At 39.9% G+C, this 21,520-nt stretch overlaps 1 protein-coding gene across 10 annotated transcripts in view, besides 1 other annotated feature; it reads left to right on the forward strand.

Annotated features, from left to right (window-relative positions):
• Positions 1–21,520, forward strand: part of CNST (consortin, connexin sorting protein) — a 102,140-nt gene that overhangs the window by 18,100 nt on the left and 62,520 nt on the right. For 8 of the 10 annotated variants that reach the window (XM_011544111.2, NM_152609.3, NM_001139459.2 and 5 more), the window contains one exon: positions 6,957–7,386. The exons of 1 other annotated variant lie outside the window; for it this stretch is intronic. In XM_011544111.2, coding sequence (XP_011542413.1) covers positions 7,008–7,386 — 379 coding nt within the window. In that variant the 5' untranslated portion in view covers positions 6,957–7,007. Of the gene's footprint in view, positions 1–6,956; positions 7,387–21,520 lie in introns of those variants that run through there. One more of the 10 variants, XM_047447906.1, reaches the window with a different exon arrangement.
• Positions 14,832–15,019: a silencer, noted in NCBI's record as "fragment chr1:246762689-246762876 (GRCh37/hg19 assembly coordinates)". NCBI's record gives its function as "represses an EF-1alpha promoter that drives an FKBP-Casp9 reporter gene in an ReSE screen in HepG2 liver carcinoma cells {active_cell/tissue: HepG2}" and the evidence as "EXISTENCE:reporter gene assay evidence [ECO:0000049][PMID:32094911]".

The following is a 21,520-nucleotide window of genomic DNA, read 5'->3' on the forward strand; positions in this document are numbered from 1 at the left end:
GATTAAGGTACAGGATTCTTTTAGCCAGATTGTGGATGATCTGCATGATGAGATTGATTTGAAGACAGTGTATGAAACCAAGTCGAATGGAGACGGAGTGTGTAGTGGAACTCATCTCAGTAGACCGTCCCGGCAGCCCTGCAGTCCTCCACAGCTGCCAGGACAGTTACTGTTCAGTTTCCCACACTGGCTATTTTAAACCTTCTATATGCTCCCCAACTCCTTGCTCCCAACATACCACTCCCTCCCTGCCTCCGGTATATGGATCTCCTATGAGTCTGTTTCTGCTGTTTTTTTCCCCCAGTTTTCTTTTTTAAATCAAGACGTGATCTCTTGTATGCCTGGTTGTTTTGGATTATATACTGAATATTACATATGAAAAGTTGTGGAAATAGTTTCAGCCTTTGCTGGATTTATCTTGCAGAGAGGATTGACTTTAGTTTCTGGCAGGCAACAGGTTAGAACAGACCACCTTAATTCAACCAGAGATTAGATGATTGATTCTGCTGGGCCTTAGTCCCTGTGAGCACTGATCTATTTCAGGCTTGCCTTTTCTTCTGGGGAGTATCACTTTTAGGTCCCACCGCAAGGCCTGTGGTCCCCTCTTCTTGGAAGACCTCGAACTCTGGTTTTTCGTCCAGCTCTGTGAGCCTGCTCAACACTCTGCTCAGCTTTTCCGGCTTCCAAACTGAAGCTTTCTGCCAGCTTTTCTAGTGATCAGCAGGAGGGGTTTGTCTGAAATGAGCCAGTCTGCCCTTGCCAGAAGTACAAGCTTTCTTATGTTTGTTTTTGCACATGTTTAAAATGACAGAGCCAGGTGCTGGCTCACATCTGTAATCCCAGCACTTTGGGAGGCCGAGGCGGGCAAATCACTTGAGGTCAGGAGTTCGAGATCAGCCTGTCCAACATGGCGAAACCCTGCATGTACTAAAAATACAAAAATTAGCCAGGCGTAGTGGTGCATGCCTGTAATCCCAGCTACTCAGGTGGCTGAGGCGGCAGAATCACTTGAATCGGGAGGCAGAGGTTGCAGTGAGCCAAGATCACACCACTGCCTTCCAGCCTGGGCAACAGAGACTCTGTCTCAAAAAAAAAAAAAAAAAAAAAATATACACACACACACACACACACACACACACACACACACACACACACACTATATATGTATACAGCATAAGTGCATATGATTTATGAACAGATATACCTACAGTGGGTATACTCAACGATCAGTTTCTTTGCCTACGCTGGGCGTGGTGGCATACATCTGTAATCCTGGCACTTTGGGAGGCTGAGGTGGCAGGATCACTTGAGGCCAAGAGTTTGAGACCAGCCTGGGCAACATAGTGAGACTCTGTTTCTACAAAAAATTTAAAAATTAGCTGGATGTGATGGCACGCACCTGTAGTCCCAGCTATTTGGGAGGCTAAGGTGGGAGGATTGCTTGAGCCCAGGAGTTCAAGGCTGCAATGAGCTATGACCTTGCCACTGCACTCCAGCCTGGGGGACAAAGTGAGACCATGTCTTGGGGGAGAGGGGGAGATATATATATATATATATGTGTGTGTGTGTGTGTGTGTGTGTGTGTGTATATATTACTGATAGTATGCTTATAAGCAAAGATATATGGTATATCTTTGATATGTATCTTTATTATATAGTATATATAATATATACCTTTTATTATATCTGATATATATTATATATAAAGCTATATATCTTTGATATATTTCTATATATAAGATACATATACAAGCTCTATCTTATGTATCATCTATATCAACTTTATATGAGATAAATAAGATACATAGATATATAAAAGATCTATATCAAAGATATATCAAATATATAACATATCTTTTATATATATCTATATATGATATATATGCAAGCTATATCTTATGTATCTCATATATATCTTAGCTATATCTGAGATATATAAATAATATATAAATATATAAATATAAGTACACCACCAAAGTTTGGAGACTCTTGCATGTTAGTCCCTCTTTTTTAACGTGATGTTGGTTCAGTAAGTATCTGTGGCCTGCCTGGTAAAAATTTTTCTAAATGCACAAAGATGAATGTCAGAGATCTTACGATAATTTCTAATGGGGCGGTTATATAGCCCAACATATAAACCTGAAGAAATGGACTCATAACATTAAAGGAATGCAGCAAATAAAGAGTCTTATTGGTGGGTTTTATTTGCTGTGTAACCTATTTTTCTACATTGTACATATTTGGAAAACATCTCAAGATATTGGAAATTGTTCATTTTGTGGCCTCCTTAAAGTAGCAATTTGGTATTTACAACATATACACCTGAAAACAGCTGGTTTTTAAAAGTAATTTAAAAATGATTATAGTGGTTAAGGATACAGGCTCTGGAATCAGATTCTAAATTGAATCCTGGCTTTGCCACATAATAGCAGCGTGACTGAGGCCTATGCGTTTAATCTTTCTATTGCTGTTTACTTCTATAAAAAATGGAAATAATTTTAGAACTACTTTATAGGACTTATAAGGATTAAATTATATATATGTAATAAACTTAAAACACTGATACTTAGTAAATCTTCAATAACTGTTAAAGAGATGGAGTCTTGCTATGTTGCGCAGGCCGGTCTGGTACTCCCAGGCTGAAGCAAGCTTCTCACCTCAGCCTCTTGAGTAGCTGACACTACAGGCCACACCACTGTGCCCGACTAGTCTCAGCATTTTATTCAGATAATGCAAGCTATTTTGTCAGGCATCTTAAAAGAAGGTTCTAATAAATTATTTGCTTTTGCCATTGTATTTTCAAGAATTGACATTTTAAAACAATGTATAGTTTTATGTGTCTATTTAATGAGTAAAGTATAAGACAGTTTCCATGAGGATATATAGTTGATACAGGCAGTAAACATGATTTTTGTTTTAAAAGAGGTGGCTATAGTCTGAACCAAAGTATTTTCAAGTCTTAGATTCTGTTGGTTGTGGCTTAAAAGAATGATTGCAGTACATTTTTACAACAAAGAGGTATTTAAAACCAAATAAGCACAATTTGGATGTGTTTACTTCTCTTTTGTTTATTTAAGTAAAACTTGTGTATATCTGTGCATAAGAGAAGGAAAAGAGAAGAGAGATGACTCTTTATCTTCATACTGCTTGGGTATACCCACAATGAGGCTTTTGACCTGTCATTTCCATTTATGTAATGGATTTTGAACTCAAAAGCCCTGTAAATACATAAGCGATCTTGAACCAAGCCCCATTGTGAAAGGCAGGATTGAGGAATATGAAACAAATTATGCTTCCTTTCATTCACTTTATCTGCCCCAAGGTTTTTTTCGGAATATGAGTCACATAGTTTCAGTTAATTTCTTCATATTTTTAACAGTGCTTTCTCTTCATAACCGAAAATCTGTATTTGATGTTTTTTTCCCTTAGAATCATTATCTTCACATTTATTCTTGTTTTTCCTTTTGTGTCTTGTAACTTTGTCACATTTTTATCCTTCTTGCCTACCTTATAGCATAAATTTTCTCTTCTGTGGCCTTTCTTTTTGCTAAATGAAGAACTAAATCTTTATGAAATTATATTTTTTATTTTTATTAAAGAAATGTTAAAACAATGTGATTTACTTTTATACTGTACTATTATGTAGAAATTTAAGTATTTAGAATGATTACTGAAAGGCCGTTTTACTAGTTTTAATGACAATACTATTTAACTTTTATGAAGTGCCAGGGGTATTTGGAATATGGGGAAGTACAAAAAAAAAGGAACAGCATGATCTAGTGATTTACATTGTGAATATGGGAAATAAGGAGGTAAAAATTAATTTTAAATAGTATCTATTTCCTTCCACAAGTATTTGCATTTGTTTAATTACAGTAATAATAATATCTATATCCAGGAAATACCTATAGCATAACTTGTGTTAGCAAGGAAGAATCCAGAATGGAGTGATTCACCATGAGCCATATTTGGCTACTGTGACACTGTCAAGGCAATGTCATAGACAGCAGCATCGTCCAATAGAAATATGTGAGACATATATGTAATTTTGTGGTCTAGTAACCACATTAAAAATTTTCAAAGGGAAAATTAATTTTAGTAATAGTTTATTCAATATATCTAAAGTATTATTTCAACATACAATCAATGTGTAGAATTAATAAATTCTTTTATATTGATTTTATTCATACTAAATCATTGAAATATGGTATGTATTTTATAAATGTAGCACATCTTAATTTGGACACAATTTTCATTGGAAATGCTTGAACTATATTTCAATTTCATAAAATGTACAGGTGAAAAACATTCACATACCCAAGTTATTCCAAACATACTTGAGTTTTTCAGTAACTGAATTGATGTCCATTTAAAAATTTAAATTTATTAAAATTTATAAAAATGAAAAATTGAGTCCCTCAATGTGTGTTCATATTTCAGGTACTCAATAGCCCTGTGTGGTTAGTGGCTACCATTTTGAATAGCATAGGTATAGAATAGAGCTCACAGTTGAAGATGTCAGCTAAGAAACCCTGAATCATTATTATTATTGTTTTATTTTATTTTATTATTATTATACTTTAAGTTTTAGGGTACATGTGCACAATGTGCAGGTTTGTTACATATGTATTCATGTGCCATGTTGGTGTGCTGCACCCATTAACTCGTCATCTAGCATTAGGTATATCTCCTAATGCTATCCCTCCCCCTCCCCCCACCCCACAACAGTCCCTGATGTGTGATGTTCCCCTTCCTGTGTCCATGTGTTCTCATTGTTCAGTTCCCACCTATGAGTGAGAACATGCGGTGTTTGGTTTTTTGTCCTTGTGATAGTTTGCTGAGAATGATGGTTTCCAGCTTCATCCATGTCCCTACAAAGGACATGAACTCATCATTTTTTATGGATGCATAGTATTCCATGGTGTATATGTGCCACATTTTCTTAATCCAGTCTATCATTGTTGGACATTTGCGTTGGTTCCAAGTCTTTGCTATTGTGAATAGTGCCACAATAAACATACATATGCATGTGTCTTTATAGCAGCATGATTTATAATCCTTTGGGTGTATACCCAGTAATGGGATGGCTGGGTCAAATGATATTTCTAGTTCTAGATCCCTGAGGAATTGCCATACTGTCTTCCACAATGGTTGAACTAGTTTACAGTCCTACCAACAGTGTAAAAGTGTCCCTGTTTCTCCACATCCTCTCCAGCACCTGTTGTTTCCTGACTTTTTAATGATTGCCATTCTAACTGGTGTGAGATGGTATCTCACTGTGGTTTTGATTTGCATTTCTCTGATGGCCAGTGATGATGAGCATTTTTTCATGTGTGTTTTGGCTGCATAAATGTCTTCTTTTGAGAAGTGTCTGTTCATATCCTTCGCCCACTTTTTGATGGGGTTGTTTGTTTTTTTCTTGTAAATTTGTTTGAGTTCATTGTAGATTCTGGACATTAGCCCTTTGTCAGATGAGTAGGTTGCAAAAATTTTCTCCCATTCTGTAGTTTTAATGAACTCCTCATTAAAGAAGGAAGAGGCTTTATTCGGGCGGGAGCTTTGGCAGACTTGCATCTTAAGAGCCAAGCTCCCTGAAAAAGAAATCCTTGGCCCTTTTAAGGGCTTACAACTCTAAGGGGTCCACGTGAAAGGGTCGTGATAGATCGAGCAAGCGTGGGGAGCGTGACTGGGGGCTACATGCATCAGCTGACAGGACAGAAAGTTTCGCAGGGCTTCCTCATACGATGTCTGGAATTTACAGATAACACAAGTAGTTTAGGTCAGGGGTTAATATTATTATTATTTTTTTAACCACCAGGGCCAGGTGGTGGTGCCAGGGTCGTCTGGCTATTTATCTTACTTCTGTTTCTTTCCAACTTTTTGCTTTCTCCCTTTTCGCCTGTCTTATAAACTAGGCAAAAGTGGGAGAGAGGAGGGCAGCAGGAGAAGTGGTGGTCTCCTTCCTTAATGGTATAGGGTGAATATTTTATCTTGTACTTTTCATGGTTTTAGAGACTGTACTTTACATGTTTCTAAAGATTAAGCATTTCTACTCATTAAGTTGAAGAATCTTTAGAAGTCCTCTCACTGAGGTTTTTTTCCAGAATTACTGGATTATTTCTTTCATACCTATCATTTTTCTTAAAATGTAATACACTTGTAGATAATAAGAGGAAATAAAAGATGACTGATAAAGGGCTTGCAGTCTGTTTTGTAAATTTTAAAAATATTAGTGGTATCCTTCAAGCAGATTTAGCATTTCTTCCAATTCTACACTAAGAGTAGCCTAGAGTTAACCATGGCCTTTTTTTTTTTTTTTTTAAGTGTTCAAAAGGATTTTGATGACAACTCTAAGGTACCTTCCAGGGCTTATTTTTAGGAAATAAAAAATAAAACGATAGTATAAATATATGCTACCTAAACTTCCCCTCACATACTTTTTTCTAGGTTATTTTTTTTTAAAATCTTCAAACATTTTCATTTCCAAATATTGCTGCTGTTTAGCCAGAGAAGAACTTATACAACTAGCTTTCAGTTGTCTGCTGAGTGTCCAGGGATTAACATAAGAGACTAATTTCAGCACATAACCTATTTAACTAGTCATTTCATTCAGGCAGTGGTCCCAACCTGATGCACATTAGACTTACCTAGAGAACTTGAAAAATAGTGGTGCCTAGGTTCCATCCTCAGAGATTCTGATGTAATGGTCTAGAATAGAATTTGGGCAGCCTCTCAGGTGATCATCATGAGGAGACAGGCTTGACACCTGTAGTATTCATGTGAGAACTAGCTGAGTTTGGGGTTGGGTTGCATATGGTGAAAGGGAATGAACTTAAGTCATTTCCTTCTCTTCCCTATTTACAATGAAACAACCTAAGAGAAGGGGAAAATCAAAGATCACTGAGAATCTGCAAAGGTTAGAAAATGAAGTAGCTTTTTTCTTTTTGTCATTGTAGACATGGAAGGTCTTTAATGTAACTTTAAATGGTTCACCAAAGGATGCTCTAATGGATGACAGCGATACTCCTACATATTATCTGCAAATAGAACCACAAGATGGATGTCATCCTGGTGACAGCGTGGAAAGGAGTGTGACCTGTCTGCCTTCTGCATCAGATGAAAATGAAAATCAGCTTGACGGGGACGGGCATGAGCATCTGACCAGCAGTGACAGTGCGATGGGAAAGCCCCAAGTGTCTGAGCAGGACAGTCTCAATAATAATGAAAGCTGCACATTGAGCTGCGAGGTGGCTGCAGGTGAGAACTTGCAAAACACCCTTTGTGAAGCCTCCAGAGATGAACAGGCCTTCTTGGGAAAGGACAAAAAAATTCCTGGAAAAAGAAGTCCAAGAAGCAAAAAAGGGACTGCTAAGAAGATACCACCAGGTATTGTTTAAAATAGTATTTATCCTCTTCTTTAATTAATTAAAAATGAACCTCCTTCCCTCCCATACTGTGTTTACTGTCCTGCACCTTGCTTCTTTGCTTACGATATTCTGGAGCTAGTTCCGCCGCAGCACAAGTAGATCCAACTGCATGATATTCCAGTGTGATACGTCTCCACACTGTTCCACCGTATGGGTGTAACACAATTTATTTAATCACTTCCTTATGGCCCTTCCCAGTCTTTTACTATCATAAACAGTGCTGAGGCCGGGTACGGTGGCTCACGCCTGTAATTAGCACTTTGGGAGGCCGAGGTGGGCGGATTACCTGAGGTCGGGAGTTCAAGACCAGCCTGGCCAACATGGTGAAACGCCATCTCTACTAAAAATACAAAAAATGAGCTGGGTGCAGTGGCGTGTACCTGTAATCCCAGCTACTCTGGAGGCTGAGGCAGGAGAATCGCTTGAACCTGGGAGGCGGAGGTTGCAGTAAGCCAAGATCACGCCACTGTACTCTAGCCTGGCTACAGAGTGAGACTTCGTCTCAAAAAAAAAGAAAAGAAAAAGTGCTGAAATTGACATCCTTTGTACATGTTTTCACATTAGGTACTTTAAATATATGCAGCCTCCTCTCCCTCCTTTATAAATTAGACCATTTTCTACCAATATCAACCTTAAAAATTGCCTTCTGTCATTCCTGTGGCTTTGATCCCTAACCTGTGAGTTTAGATGCTACTGTGACCTCTTTATAGATCTTTCCATCTCACTCAGCAGGTAAATAAAATACAGGAACATATATTAATGTACAATTTAATATGTAGTGTTGAATAAGACATCTGGTTCTAATTATCTGTATCACTTTGGTTAAAAAGTAATTCAGAGTATTTCTTGTTTGGTATGCAGTTTGGCAGTTGAAGTTTAGAGCTATGGAATTTTTGGCCTGAATCACAGGGCCCCCTTGGGAAAAGGCAGCCTCTGGTTATTTTTTTTATCAGAAACATATGGGACTAGAAAGTTTTGGTATGCCCTAGACTGGATTCCTTAGTGTAGTACCACTTTTTACCCAAGCCAACAGATTTTACATCAGACTCTAGTGAACTAAGTAGAATGCCTCTTCATCTTCTGTTCTCTTCTTTGGTTAATTAGAAATATATCTGTCTATATCGTATTTTTTATTTGTATTTTTAAAATTTGAAGTAAAATACAAAACTTTTCAGTTTCTACAAAATCCATATTTATTCAATAAAGTAATTTGAAAACTTTTTAATATAATTCATAATCTGGCTTTCTGGTTAATGTAACTCATAATTTGGCTTTTCACGTCCCTGTATCTTTTTCTTAGTAGACTCAAAATAATTTTTAACCAGGGATATGAAAGCTTTTTTTTTTTTTCTTTTTTTTGAGGCGAGTCTCACTCTGTCACCCAGTATGGAGTGCAGTGGTGCAATCTCAGCTCACTGCAACCTCCGCCTCCTGGATTCAAGCAATTCTCCTTCCTCAGATGATTCTCCTGCCTCAGCCTCCTGAGTAGCTGGGATCACAGGTGTGCACCACCATGCCCAGCTAATTTTTTTTGTATTTTTAATAGAGACAAGGTTTCACCATGTTGGCCAGGCTGGTCTCAAACTCCTGACCTCGTGATCCGCCCACCTCTGCCTCCCAAAGTGCTGGGATTAAAGGCGTGAGCCACCGTGCCCAGCAAAAGCATTTCTTAAAAGATCTAATAAGCAGAGGATATTTACAGTACTATGTATATATAAATCAGTTTATTCTATAACTATCATTCAAGGGCAAATTCACCAGGCCTCTCAATCTGATTTTGTGATTTTATTTTATTTTCAAGACAGGGTTTCACTCTGTCACCCAGGCTGAAGTGCAGTGGCGTGACCATGGCTCTCTGCAGCCTTGATCTCCCAGGCACAAGCGATTCTCCCACCTCAGCCTCTGGAGTAGCTCGGACAACAGGCATGTGCTACCATGCCTGACTAATTTTTCTTTTCTTTTTATTTTTGTAGATAAAGAATCTCGCACTGTTGCCCAGGCTGATCTTGAATTTCTGGCCTCAAGCGATCCTCCTGCCTAGGCCTCCCAAAGTGTTGGGATTACAGGCATCTTGTGATGTCTTTAAGAACTGATACTTAGTTGCATACCTATGAGTCAGTCATAGCTTTAAGATTGTGAGTCCTTTTACTCCTCCCTTCCATGGTCTTTATTCCACTTTTCTTAGGTGTGATTATATTATTATTATATTTATTTTAGAGACAGGATCATGCTACCTTGCCCAGGTTAGTTTCAAACTCCTGGGTTCAAGTGATCCTTTTATCTCAGCTTCTTGAGTACCTGGGACTACAGGTATACACCAGTGGGCCCAGCTTATAATTTAAAGTTATTTAGTATTTATAATACTGTGAGAAGATATGTTTAGAATTACTATTCCCTAATGCATTTGAAACATATGATTTATAAAATCTAGGGATAGTCTTTATACAGCTTACTTTAAACATTATTTTCTATATCTTATATAAAGTGAGTTTAAGAGAGTAAGAAAGGCCAGGCGTGGTGGCTCACACCTGTAATCCCAGCACTTTGGGAGGCTGACAGGGCAGATCACTTGCGCTCAGGAGTTCGAGACCAGCCTGGCCAACATGGTGAAACCCCATCTCTAAAAAAATACAAAAATTAGCTGGGCCTGGTGGCATGCACCTGTAGTCCCAGCTACTTGGGAGGCTGAGGTGAGAGAATGGTTTGAGCCTGGGAGGCGGAGGTTGCAGTGAGCCAAGATCCTGCCACTGCACTCCAGTCTAGGCGATAGTGCCAGACCTTGTCTCAAAAGAGTAAGAAAACAGAATGAGGAGTTATAAAACCCAAGTACAAATCTTATGATTCCAGGTCACTTGGTGAGACTGAAGCAGTCTCTACCTTGTTGTTGTCGTCTGTATAATGATGATCTTCATCTACCTAAATCTATGAAATTCCTTTTTAAGCTGTGAGTTTCTTAGATTTCATAGTAGAGATGGTATACTCTATACTTGAATAAAATGTGGTGATTCACCTCTAGTGCATCTATAGAGTTTTTATATTTTACAGATACATTTTTGTTTGTCTTTTAAGTTTTGTTGATAAATTAAAAGAAAGGATACTCCTGTCTGCCCGGGCTGGCCATGGACGAGGCGGGACTGAGTGTCCTGGGGTGAGTTAGCAGGGCACAGGTGTTTGAGATGGGGGACCCTTAATTTTAAACTGAATAGGATTCTTTTGGGTGTGGAATTAATCCTTTCTAGATGTGGAAGAGACCTAGAATGGGAAGAAGCTTTAGTATTGCCTGGAAAGCTTCCCTCAGAGTTTAGTTGCTGGGACCCCACCCTAAGAACTTGCTTCAGCCTGTCGTCTCTCAGTACGTATCCATCACCCGGTCTGAGTAATGTTATCTCCCTGTGATCTCTCAAGTCAGTCTGTTTCTCTCCATCTTCACTGCCACAGTTCAGCAGCATCTTCAGCTGGAGTACTGCAAAAGCCCCCTACATTTGTTTCCCATCTTGCTTCCATCCTCCATGTCAAAAATAATGCAAAGAGTTTATGCATAGGAGTTTAGACAAGGATGTGTTTACTCTAATTTTTCGGTTAAATTCTTAGCTCCTAAGTAAATAAAGTTTCAAATTTTTCAGACGTGTACTTTTCTAATAATTGAATAGCTTCTCAAATGTGAAATGACATATAAAAAACATGATATTCAGTTGCAAACCAGAAATGCAGTTTTTTGTAGGTAGATGTTCTTGTAACACTTTTTAGAAAATGTAAAATATAAAAATAAAGAAAAAAAAGACCAAAAAAAAGAACATGTAAAATAAAGTAAATTTATTCACTCTATGCTCCCTTGTCTAGTTTAATTTGTAGTCATTTTTCAATTACTACTGTCCAAAGGCTAGTACTGGAAAAAAAATGATAGTGCAGGACTCTTGTCACTAATAGTCATGTCATTCCTAATAGTCATGTCATTAGGAGACATGTCACTGTTTATGGGTTTGCTGGAGGCAGTATTTGTGTCAATGGGTAAAACCTTGATCTTAGCCTCAGGGAAGTCCAGTTGTCATCATATAATGAGCTTTTTTTTTTCCCCCTTAAGAGAATTGAATCCCCTTGATATGCTTAACTAAGCAGGATTTCAAGCTGTGTTACAACAAGTTTTCATTATAGGGCGGGTGCACTGGCTCATGCCTATAATTGTAGCACTTTAAGAAGCCAAGGTGGAGGATTGCTTGAGCCAAGGAGTTTGTGACCAGCCTGGGCAACACAGGGAGACCTCATCTCTACAAAAAGTAAAATAATTAGCTGGGCATGGTGGCACGTGCCTGTAGTCCCAGCTACTTGGGAGGCTGAGGTGGGAGGATCACAGCAGCAGTGAGCTGCATGGTTGCACCACTGCACCCCAACTTGGAGACAGAGTGAGATCCTGTCTCAAAAAAAAAAAAAGAAAAAGAAAAAATTTTTCACTGTAGTTAAAATGGCAAAGCTTTAGGTAAATATTATCCTAAAAACTAATGACCATTACTTATTTATTATTATTTTTCACATTCTTACCTGGGGGGAGAAAAACAATGGAAATTAATGTGTTTTTTAAACAGTTTTATTAAGATGTAATTCATATACATGCAATTCACCTACTTAAAATATATAATTCACTGATTTTTGGTATACTCACAGGGATGTGTAACCATCAGCAGTCAATTTTAGTATGTTTTCTTCACCACACAAAGCAGCCACTTACATATTAGCACCCACTTCTTACTTCCACTTAGACATCCTAACCTGAGGCAGCCATTAATCTACTTACTTTTTCTACAGATTTGTCTACTCTGAACATTGCATATTAGTGGAATCATACAATAGAAGGTCTTTGACTGGCTTCTTTCATTTAACATGTTTTCATGGTTGACCCATTTTGTAGCATATATCAGTACTTTGTTCCTTTTTGTGGTCAGATAATATTCTGTTGCATGGATAGACCGTATTTCATTTATACATCAGCTGAGGGATGTTTGGGTTCTTTCCACTTTTTGACTATTCTATGGACATTGCTGTACAAGTTTTTGTAGAGACATGTGTTTTCATTTCTCTTCGTTATATATCTCTAGGAGTGGAATTGCTGGATCATATGGTAACTTTATGCCAAACAGTTTTCCAAAGCAACTGCACCATTTTACAGTCCTGCCAGCACTGTATGAGGGTTACAGTTTCTCTCCATCTTCACCAACACCTGTTAATATCTGACTATTTGATTATCTCCATGTAGTTTTAAAAAACTTGTAATTCGTATACCATAAAATTCACCTTTTTAAAGGGTACAATTTAGTGGTTTTAGTATATTCACAAAGTTGTACAATTTAATTCCAGAACATTTTATCCTCCAGGAAGAAATCACGTACCCATTAGCAGTCACTCCTCATTCTTCCCTTCCCCAAGCGGTGGCTACCACTGTCCCATAAAGTTTGTATATTTGTATGAGACAAGTTTAGATGATGTGTTTTATGGTTGTCGTAACAACACTAGATATTTACTCAGCGCTAGTCACCATAGTATCAAAGCATTTAACAAAACAGTTCAGCAAATGGCGGGAAGCCAGAAATAGGCAGCACATGGAAACTGGGAAGGGAAGACCTTTCTCAATTGACCTGCCACTATCAGTGCCCTGACTTGTTTCTCTGGAGGCCTTCACAGTGTGGCCAGCTGAAGGATGACAAGGAGGCTAGAACCTTAAAAAGCCTGAGTCAGGCTGGTGTAGTGAGAACAAAGACTTTGGATTTGAATCTTGGTTATTTGAGTCTCGGTTCTGCCTGTTCTTACCTATATGATCTTAGAAAAGGAGCTCATTTCCCTGAACCCCTTTTCTCATCTGTAAGGAAGGCTGATCCTACATGTCTTGCAGGATTGTCCTTAGAATGAATGACTCTGTATGTAAAGCACTTTGTAAAGTACCCAGCATAAAACAGCTTCTTCTAAATGGTAGTTGTTGTGTTTATGTGTGTCACAAGATGGTATTTATTTATTTATTTATTTATTTAAGACAGGATTTTGTTCTGTCACCTAGGCTGGAGTGCAGTGGCGTGCTCGTGGCTCAAAAACATCCTCAAGTTCCCAGGCTCAGGTGATTCTCTCACCTCAGCCTCCCAAGTAGCTGGGACTACAAGCGCATGCCGCTGCGCTCAGCTGAATTTTTTTTTTTTTTTTGTAGTGGCGGGTTTTTGTCATGTTGCCCAGGCTGGTCCTGAATTCCTAGGCTCAAGCCATCCACCAGCTTTGGCCCCCTAAAGTGCTAGGATTAGAGGCAGGAGCCACTGCACCAGCTACACAAGATGATTTCTGAGTGGCGTGACTGGGAGTACCATTAAGCAAAATTAAGAAATTAATTTGATTTGACTTTAAGTCCATTTTACTTCTTTTGTCAGTACTTTTTTTTATTTCCTAGGAACTTTTTAATACTGTCTCTTTTCAGATGTACCTGTCCCTGCCCCATTCCCCTAATGTACATTCCTAAAAATATATTTCCAGTTCCATACTAGTTTAATGTCAGATGCAACCTGCTTTTTGGGATGTTAACTGATATCAAAAGTAATAACTAGTAATGCCATAAAATATGAATCCCCAAAGGCCTATTTGCATTTTTATATATTGACTTCGGCTATAGTAGAACATTGATAGCTGGCCTCTAAATCAGCTTTATGGAGACAATTGGGTAATATCTGTACTGGCCAGAGTTGAGATCCCTGAGATTGGTGGGGACTGTGGTGAACAGGAGTCTACATCATGCCCTGCCTAAGTGCATTCAAATTTTTAAAATGTAAATGCCTGGCTAAGCCCCTGTAAGCAGAATGATAGGGACTGGGGTTGATGTTTTGTGATTGTAACCCATTCTACTCACTAGGTAGATAGACGGACAGTTTAACTCCCTTAGGAGTACATACCACACTTTCAGAATTCAGAAGTCCTGGTTTACCTTATTTCTGCTCCTAGTAGATGTTCCACCTCTTTTAAGTTAACATTTCTTTGGACAATGACATGCAGAAACAGTAGCCTCTCATTTTACTCTTCCTTCTTTAAGGGATTGATCAATGAAGGCAGGCCATGTCTTTTCTGAAGGTCAGCTAGTAAGAATAGAATAAAGAGTTCCTGATTTATATAGAGTCAAATAATTTCACAGTCAGAAGAGACTTCAAGGTCACTAGCCAAAACTGTCTTAGGAAAAAAAAAAAAAAGCCCCAATATTAAAAGTGTGTTAGTTTTCTATTGCTACTGGAACAAGTTATCACAAATTTACAAATCTAGTGGCTTTAAACACACGACAACACAAATTTATTATCTTACAGTTCTGTAGATGAAGAATCTGACATGGTTCCTACTGGGCTAACATCAAGGTGTTAGCAGGGCTGTGTCCCTTTCTGGATGCTCCCTGGGAGAATCTGTTTCCTTGCCTTTTCCGGATTCTAGAGGCTTCCCACATTCCCCAGCTTCTGTTACCCTTCCTCCATCTTCAAGGCCAGCAGTGGCTTTGAAGTGAGCTCAAGTCCTCACATTGCATCACTTTGACCAGCTGACACTTCTGCCTCTCTCTTCCACGTTTAAGGTCCCTTGTGATTACACTGGGTCCACCCATATATTGCAGGATAATCTCCCTTTTTAAAGATCAGCTGGGCTGGGCGCAATGGCTCACACCTGTAATCCCAACACTTTGGGAGGCTAAAGCGAGCAGCATATTTATAAGTTCTGGGTATGGGGACATGGGCATCTTTGGGAGCTGTTATTCTGCCTACCACAAAAAGATTTTAATATAGACTAGATGATAACTTTACATAACAGAATAATTCTTCACTTTATAAAAGTTTTTCTGACATTATTTTGTAGACCCGTACAGGATTACATAGTCAATAGATATTTATTGAGCATTGTTGCTGGGCACTATAAAACTGCTGGTGCACCTCCCTTTCAGTTTTGTATGCTCAAGTGAGGGAGCCACGTAACTAACAAGTGCAGTCTAGCAAGACGGGAGTCATAAGTAAGCACATGGTCGTGGAGGTAACCTGTCCTGGAGAGTTAGAGAAGGTTGTCAGGAGGAGTTGGTATCTAAGCTGAGTTAGGACAAATAGGTGCTAGTGAAGTAAAAGCAATGCGGACAAAGAGGAGAGGAAGGACGTCAGAGATGGCAGGCGTACCATGGGCTAGAGCTCACAAGACAAGAAGAGAGCATCCTACATTTCAGTATCTGCTAATATTCCTGCTTGAGCAGAATAAAAGAAAAGAGTGAATCAAGGGGAAATAGTAGAGAGTAGAGCAGTAGAGAGATGGAGGCTTAGAAGATTAGCAAAGTCCAGCTTATAAATTGTTTTTAACATGACCAGTTTGGGCCTTAACAACAGGTTTGAATAAGGGAATTGCATTTTTTAGAAGATTCCTCAGTCTGCAGTGTGGAGAATTGGTTGGAGCAATGGAAGATTAGAAGTAATACAGAGTTAAGGGGTTTTACAGTAACATCTGCCAGAGATGCTGGTGATCTGTAATGAGAGAGTAGCTGTACGGCTGGAGAGAAGTAAGTGAATTCAGAGTTACTAAGGAGGTGGAATTAACAGGACTGGATCATTAATTAGATATGAAAAAAAGAGTCCAGGATAATCTAATTCTCAGTTATCTGGTTTAAGCACCAGGATGCTTGATAATGCCATTTATTGATTTATTGAGCATAGGAATACAGGGAGAGAAAGAGCAAGTTTGGAGAGAAGAGAGTAGAAGACAGTGTTGTGCTTTTGGGTCAGGTGTCTGGGGTGTCGTAGACGTCTGAGTAGACCTGTTAAACAGGCTTCTGGTCTTGGCTAGAGATACAGATTTGGGAGAGTTGCTAGAGAGGGCCTTAAAAGTGACCTAGTCTAACTTCTTAGATTTTACATGTGAGGAAGTTAAAGATTTAATTGAGAGAATACATTGTTCATTTTTGCAGGAGACAGAATAAGAATTAGGATGTGAATCTAGGGCTCCTAATGAGCTAGAATGTGTTTTCTATGCATCAGAGGCCTACTTCTCCCACCAAACAATGAGACGCCAGGCATGGTGGCTCACACCTGTAATCCCAGCACTTTGGGAGGCCGAGGCAGGAGGACTGCTTGAGTCAAGGGGTTTCAAGACCAGCCTGGGCAACACAGTAGGACCTGGTCTTTTCAAAAAATAAAAAAAATAGCAGGCGTGGTGGCATACATCTGTAGTCCCAGCTACTCAGGAGACTGAGGCAGGAGGATCACTTGAGCCTGGGAGGTCAAGGCTGCAGTGAGCCATGATCACGCCACTGCACTCCATCCTGTGACAGAATGAGACTCTTGTCTCAAAAAATTAAAAAACAAAACAATACAAAACAATGAGGTTCTGTTGGTAGGGTAAAAATGATGATGAGCCACCAACTGTTAGTGATTTTTTCTATTGTAGAAATATTTGCCAAGCATTAGGAATACAGTAAGGACAAAGCAGATCTTGTGCTTACCCTCCTAGACCCCTGGTGGAGTCCAGTGGGAAGGCAGGTATTAAATAAAATTAATGGCCTGGCACGGTGGCTCACACCTGTAATCCCAGCACTTTGGGAGGCTGAGGCGGGTGAATCACCTGAGGTCAGGAGTTGGAGACCGGCCTGACCAACATGGAGAAACCCCATCTCTACTAAAAATGCAAAATTAGCTGGGCGTGGTGGCACATGCCTGTAATTCCAGCTACTCAGGAGGCTGAGGCGGGAGAAACACTTCAACCTGGGAGGCGGAGGTTGCAGTGAGCCGAGATCATGCCATTGCATTCTAGCCTGGGCAACAAGAGCGAAACTCAGTCTCAAAAATAAAATAAAATAATAAATAAATAAATAAAATTATTGCAAGGGTGTATAGTCTGCTTCTAGAACTGACACACATTCACTGTGTGTGTGTGGAATGGAATGGAGAGAGCAGTTTGGAAGATGGTAGGAGATGAGTTTTGAAGTATTACCTCTTGGATATTCTGAATGCTAATGAGAGAAAACCCTTTAGTGGAAAGCTTAGTTAAGGGTTGATAGTTGGGAGTAACACACCACCTACTTATAAGAGGACCCTAAACTGATGGTTAGAATGATAGAAATGCATTCCCTGCTGTTATCTAGCTCTTTCCAACAGACTGCACCATTTCCAGGAGTGTTGGGAAAGGTGTTTGTTACAATTGAAAGTACAAACGTCAGAGGAAGGGATCAACAAAATATAATAAAAAAGCAGAAAATTGAAGAATTGTGCATGGTCTGTGCATTAGCTATCTCTTGCAGCGTAACAAAACTTAGCAGCTGAAAACAGCAAACATGTATCATCTCGTGGTTTTTGTGGGTCAGAATCTGTGTGTGGCTTAGCTTGGAGCTTCTGACTTAAGTCTCTTATGAGGTTGCAGTCAAGGGTTGGCCAGGGCTATAGTCATCTCAAGGTTTGATAGAGGTTGGATAATCTGCTTCCAAGGTCACATGGTTCTTGGCAGGCTTCAGACCCTCGCCACATGGCCCACTCCACAGGGCTGCCTTACACCATGACAGCTGGCTTCCTCCAGGGCTAGCAGTCAAAGAGAGAGAGCACTCAACCTGGAAGTCATACTTTTTTAATGACCTAATTTTGGAAGTGATATTCCATCACTTCTGCATATTCCTTTCATTAGAAGCAGGTTACTGGGTCCAACTTGTACTTATGGGAGGAGGTTGTAAAAGGGCACAAATACCAAGAGGCAGGAATCACGGGGGCCCATCTTAAAGGATGCCAGGAGAAAGTCGGTGCCTCAGATTGTGGCAAGGACCCCGTGAGAATGTAATGGCAATTCTATTCACAGTTCCTTTTTTCCCTCTGAACACCTTTCCTGAGATTGCAGGTGGAACCCAGGATATATGATGGTACAGACAGCCCAGTTAGATAGTTTTCTTTTTGTCTAGTTTTTTTTTTTTATGATTTCAGTCGTGCTGTTAAAATGCAGTATCTATGCAGAGAGAAGGTGAAAAAGAAAAGAATTACAATCAATCAAACCTTTCAAATTCTGTCCCAAAAAACAGCATTCTCCAAGTCTCAGTAATGAGTTAGGTATTTTTTAAGTAATGTGATATTTTATGTGAAGAAAAATTAAGAAATCAAAACTAAGAAATTAAGAGATTTACCTCCAGATGCATGGGAATATTTATGCAGTTACATACATATTAACCTAGATGAATGAAGACTTTTTAAAAGTTTTTAGATATAAGCATATAGGCTATATTTTAAAATACGGTATTTTATTACTGATTTTATAGGACTCAGATTAGTGGAAGCTTAGGTGGGAGTTTAGGGACTCTTGGCTTCTCAGTTCTTTACTGTGAAAGTCAAACTTTCCAATATTTAATCGTTTTCTAAATAGTCACCTTTTGCTTTTCTGTTTACTCCTTTTGTTTTTACTGGATCACGATCTCTACAAAGAGTGACTGTTTTGTCTTCATTTGTTTAAAATAATGGTTTCTAGGCATCACTGATAGGGTGAGAACTACAATTAAGAGTTTTTTGTTGTCTTGTTTTTTTAAACAAAGTTATATGCGCCTGCCGCTTAGTTTGTAAAAGGCACACAAGTGAACATTTGGAAATGTAGTCACACAAATGAAAAGCAGGTAGAGGTTATATGCATGCTATTTAGCAATGAAAATAAATAAAATCCTAATACATGGTGTAACATGGATGAATCTTGAAAAGGTGCTAAGTGAAAGAGGACATATGTGTGAAATGTCCAGAATAGGCAAATCTATATGGACAGCAAGTAGATGAGTTGGCTGCCTAGAGCTAGGGAGGCAGTAGGGGGATGGGGTGACAGCTAAAGGATGTGGGATTTCTCTTTGGGGTAATAAACGTTCCAAAATGTAACATGGTGATGGTTGTACAACACAGTATACTGAAGTAAAGCCACTGAATTATGTGTTATGAGAATTATATCTCAGTAAAGCCGTTAAAAGAAAAAAAGGCTGGACGTGGTGGCTCACACTGTAATCCCACCACTTTGGGAGGCCTAGGCGGGTGGATCACCTGAGGTCAGGAGTTTGAGACCAGCCTGGCCAACTGGCCAACACGGTGAAACCCCATCTCTACTAAAACTACAAAAACTAGCCGGGGGTGGTGGCGCGTGCCTGTACCATTATAGGCATGAGCCACCCTGCCCGGCTACTGGAGAGACTGAGGCAGGAGAATTGCTTGAACCCGGGTGGCAGAGGCTGCAGTGAGCCGATATCGCGCCATTGCACTCCAGCCTGGGCGAAGACGCAAGACTCCATCTCAAAAAAAAGAAAAAAAAAAGGGGCTTGGTGATAGTTGGTTTGATGATATGAAGAAACGGTGTAGTTATTTGTCTCCACAAAATTTAAAAACTACTAGTGTAATGGAAATTGATGTAACAATTTTCTGTAAACTATAATAAAATGCCATTAAATGTGTTTCTCTGTGCGTTTGTTTTGATCTATTGAAAGTTCAGGGTTAACCCCTGGGCTTCTAATGCTTCCGTTCTTATATGATTTCATTAATTGCAAAGAGAATCTCTGATGTTAGTAGCTTTTAGAGAATTATGGAATATTAAAGAAGGGGGGCTTTTAAGGAAAATTTCACTGTTTGGTTTGCTTTGGCTATTAGGCTCTCCCCCTTCTCCCACAAATATATATATTTTCAGGAGACGGAATATATATATATAATACTTATATTTATTGTTATTATTTTGAGTTGCACTCTTGCTGTATTGCTCATGCTGGAGTGCAATGGCGTGATCTCCGCCCACTGCAACCTCTGCCTTCTGGGTTCAAGCGATTCTCTTGCCTCAGCCTCCCAAGTAGCTGGGATTACAGGCATGCACCACCATGCCTGGCTAATTTTTGGATTTTTAGTAGAGATGGGGTTTTACCATATTGGCCAGGCTGGTCTCAGACTCCTGACCTCATGATTCGCCTGCCTCGGCCTCCCAGAGTGCTGGGATTACAGGCGTGAGCCACCGCACATGCACCATTATTTTTGTTTTGAATTTAAATACATGCCTTTATATTTGTTAGAGAAACAAAATATGTTTATTTTCAGACATACGAGAAAATCATATACTTGTAAGAAAATCATATACTTTCTTATAAGGTCATGTAAATTTTGAGAATTCTGATAGTTGATGAATTCAGTGTGCTTGGAATGAACAGGGAAAATATGGTAAAATTTAGCCATTTTGATATTAGCAAAGTCAGTGTACTTCCAATGGATAAACAATGAATTTAATCGGATTTGAAAAATCCAAAATATGGTGCTTGAGTTGTTTGTGGACCTGGATAAGTAGTTTTAAGAATTTGGCTAGGCACGGTGACTCACACTTATAATCCCAGCATTTTGGGAGGCCAAAGCAAGGGAGTCGCTTGAGTCCATGAGTTAAAGAACAGCCTGGGCCGGGCGCGGTGGCTCACGCCTGCAAGGCTCTAATATCAGTTGGAACCCCGGGAGCGCGCCAACAGACAGCACAAGGCGGTGTGGAGCATCACGCTGTTTTAATGCGCGCCTGGGTGCAGACGGGCTGAGGCCTAAAATGGCGTCAGCGCCACATGAGGACGGGGCAGGGGTTTTACAGTCTCCTGTAAACAGGAAGTGTCCCTGTCTGATGTAACGGCTACGTGGTACCTGGATGGCCTCTCTGTCTATCCTCGGTGGTGGGTGTCTTCCGGCCGGGGTGCGTGTCTTCCGGCCGGGGTAGGTGTCTTCCGGCCGGGGTAGGTGTCTTCCGGCCGGGGTAGGTGTCTTCCGGCCGGGGTGCGTGTCTTCCGGCCGGGGTAGGTGTCTTCCGGCCGGGGTAGGTGTCTTCCGGCCGGGGTGCGTGTCTTCCAGCCGGGGTAGGTGTCTTCCGGCCGGGGTGCGTGTCTTCCGGCCGGCCCTCTTCCTGCTTCTGCTTCTCGCTGACGCGCGCTGCTGGTGCAAGCGGCCTTGCGCCTTGGGACTGGGTCTGAGGAGGGAGGAGTTATTCATCCCCCCAAGCTTTCGGCCCCGGGGAGAATCTTTCATTCCTGTCTATTTGGTTATAGAAAAAGGGAAAAGGGGCGACTTTCTCCATAACTACTTCAGGTGTGACATAGGGGGTGGCGT

This window comes from Homo sapiens, chromosome 1, assembly GCF_000001405.40.
Source record: "Homo sapiens chromosome 1, GRCh38.p14 Primary Assembly".
Lineage (NCBI taxonomy): Eukaryota > Metazoa > Chordata > Mammalia > Primates > Hominidae > Homo > Homo sapiens.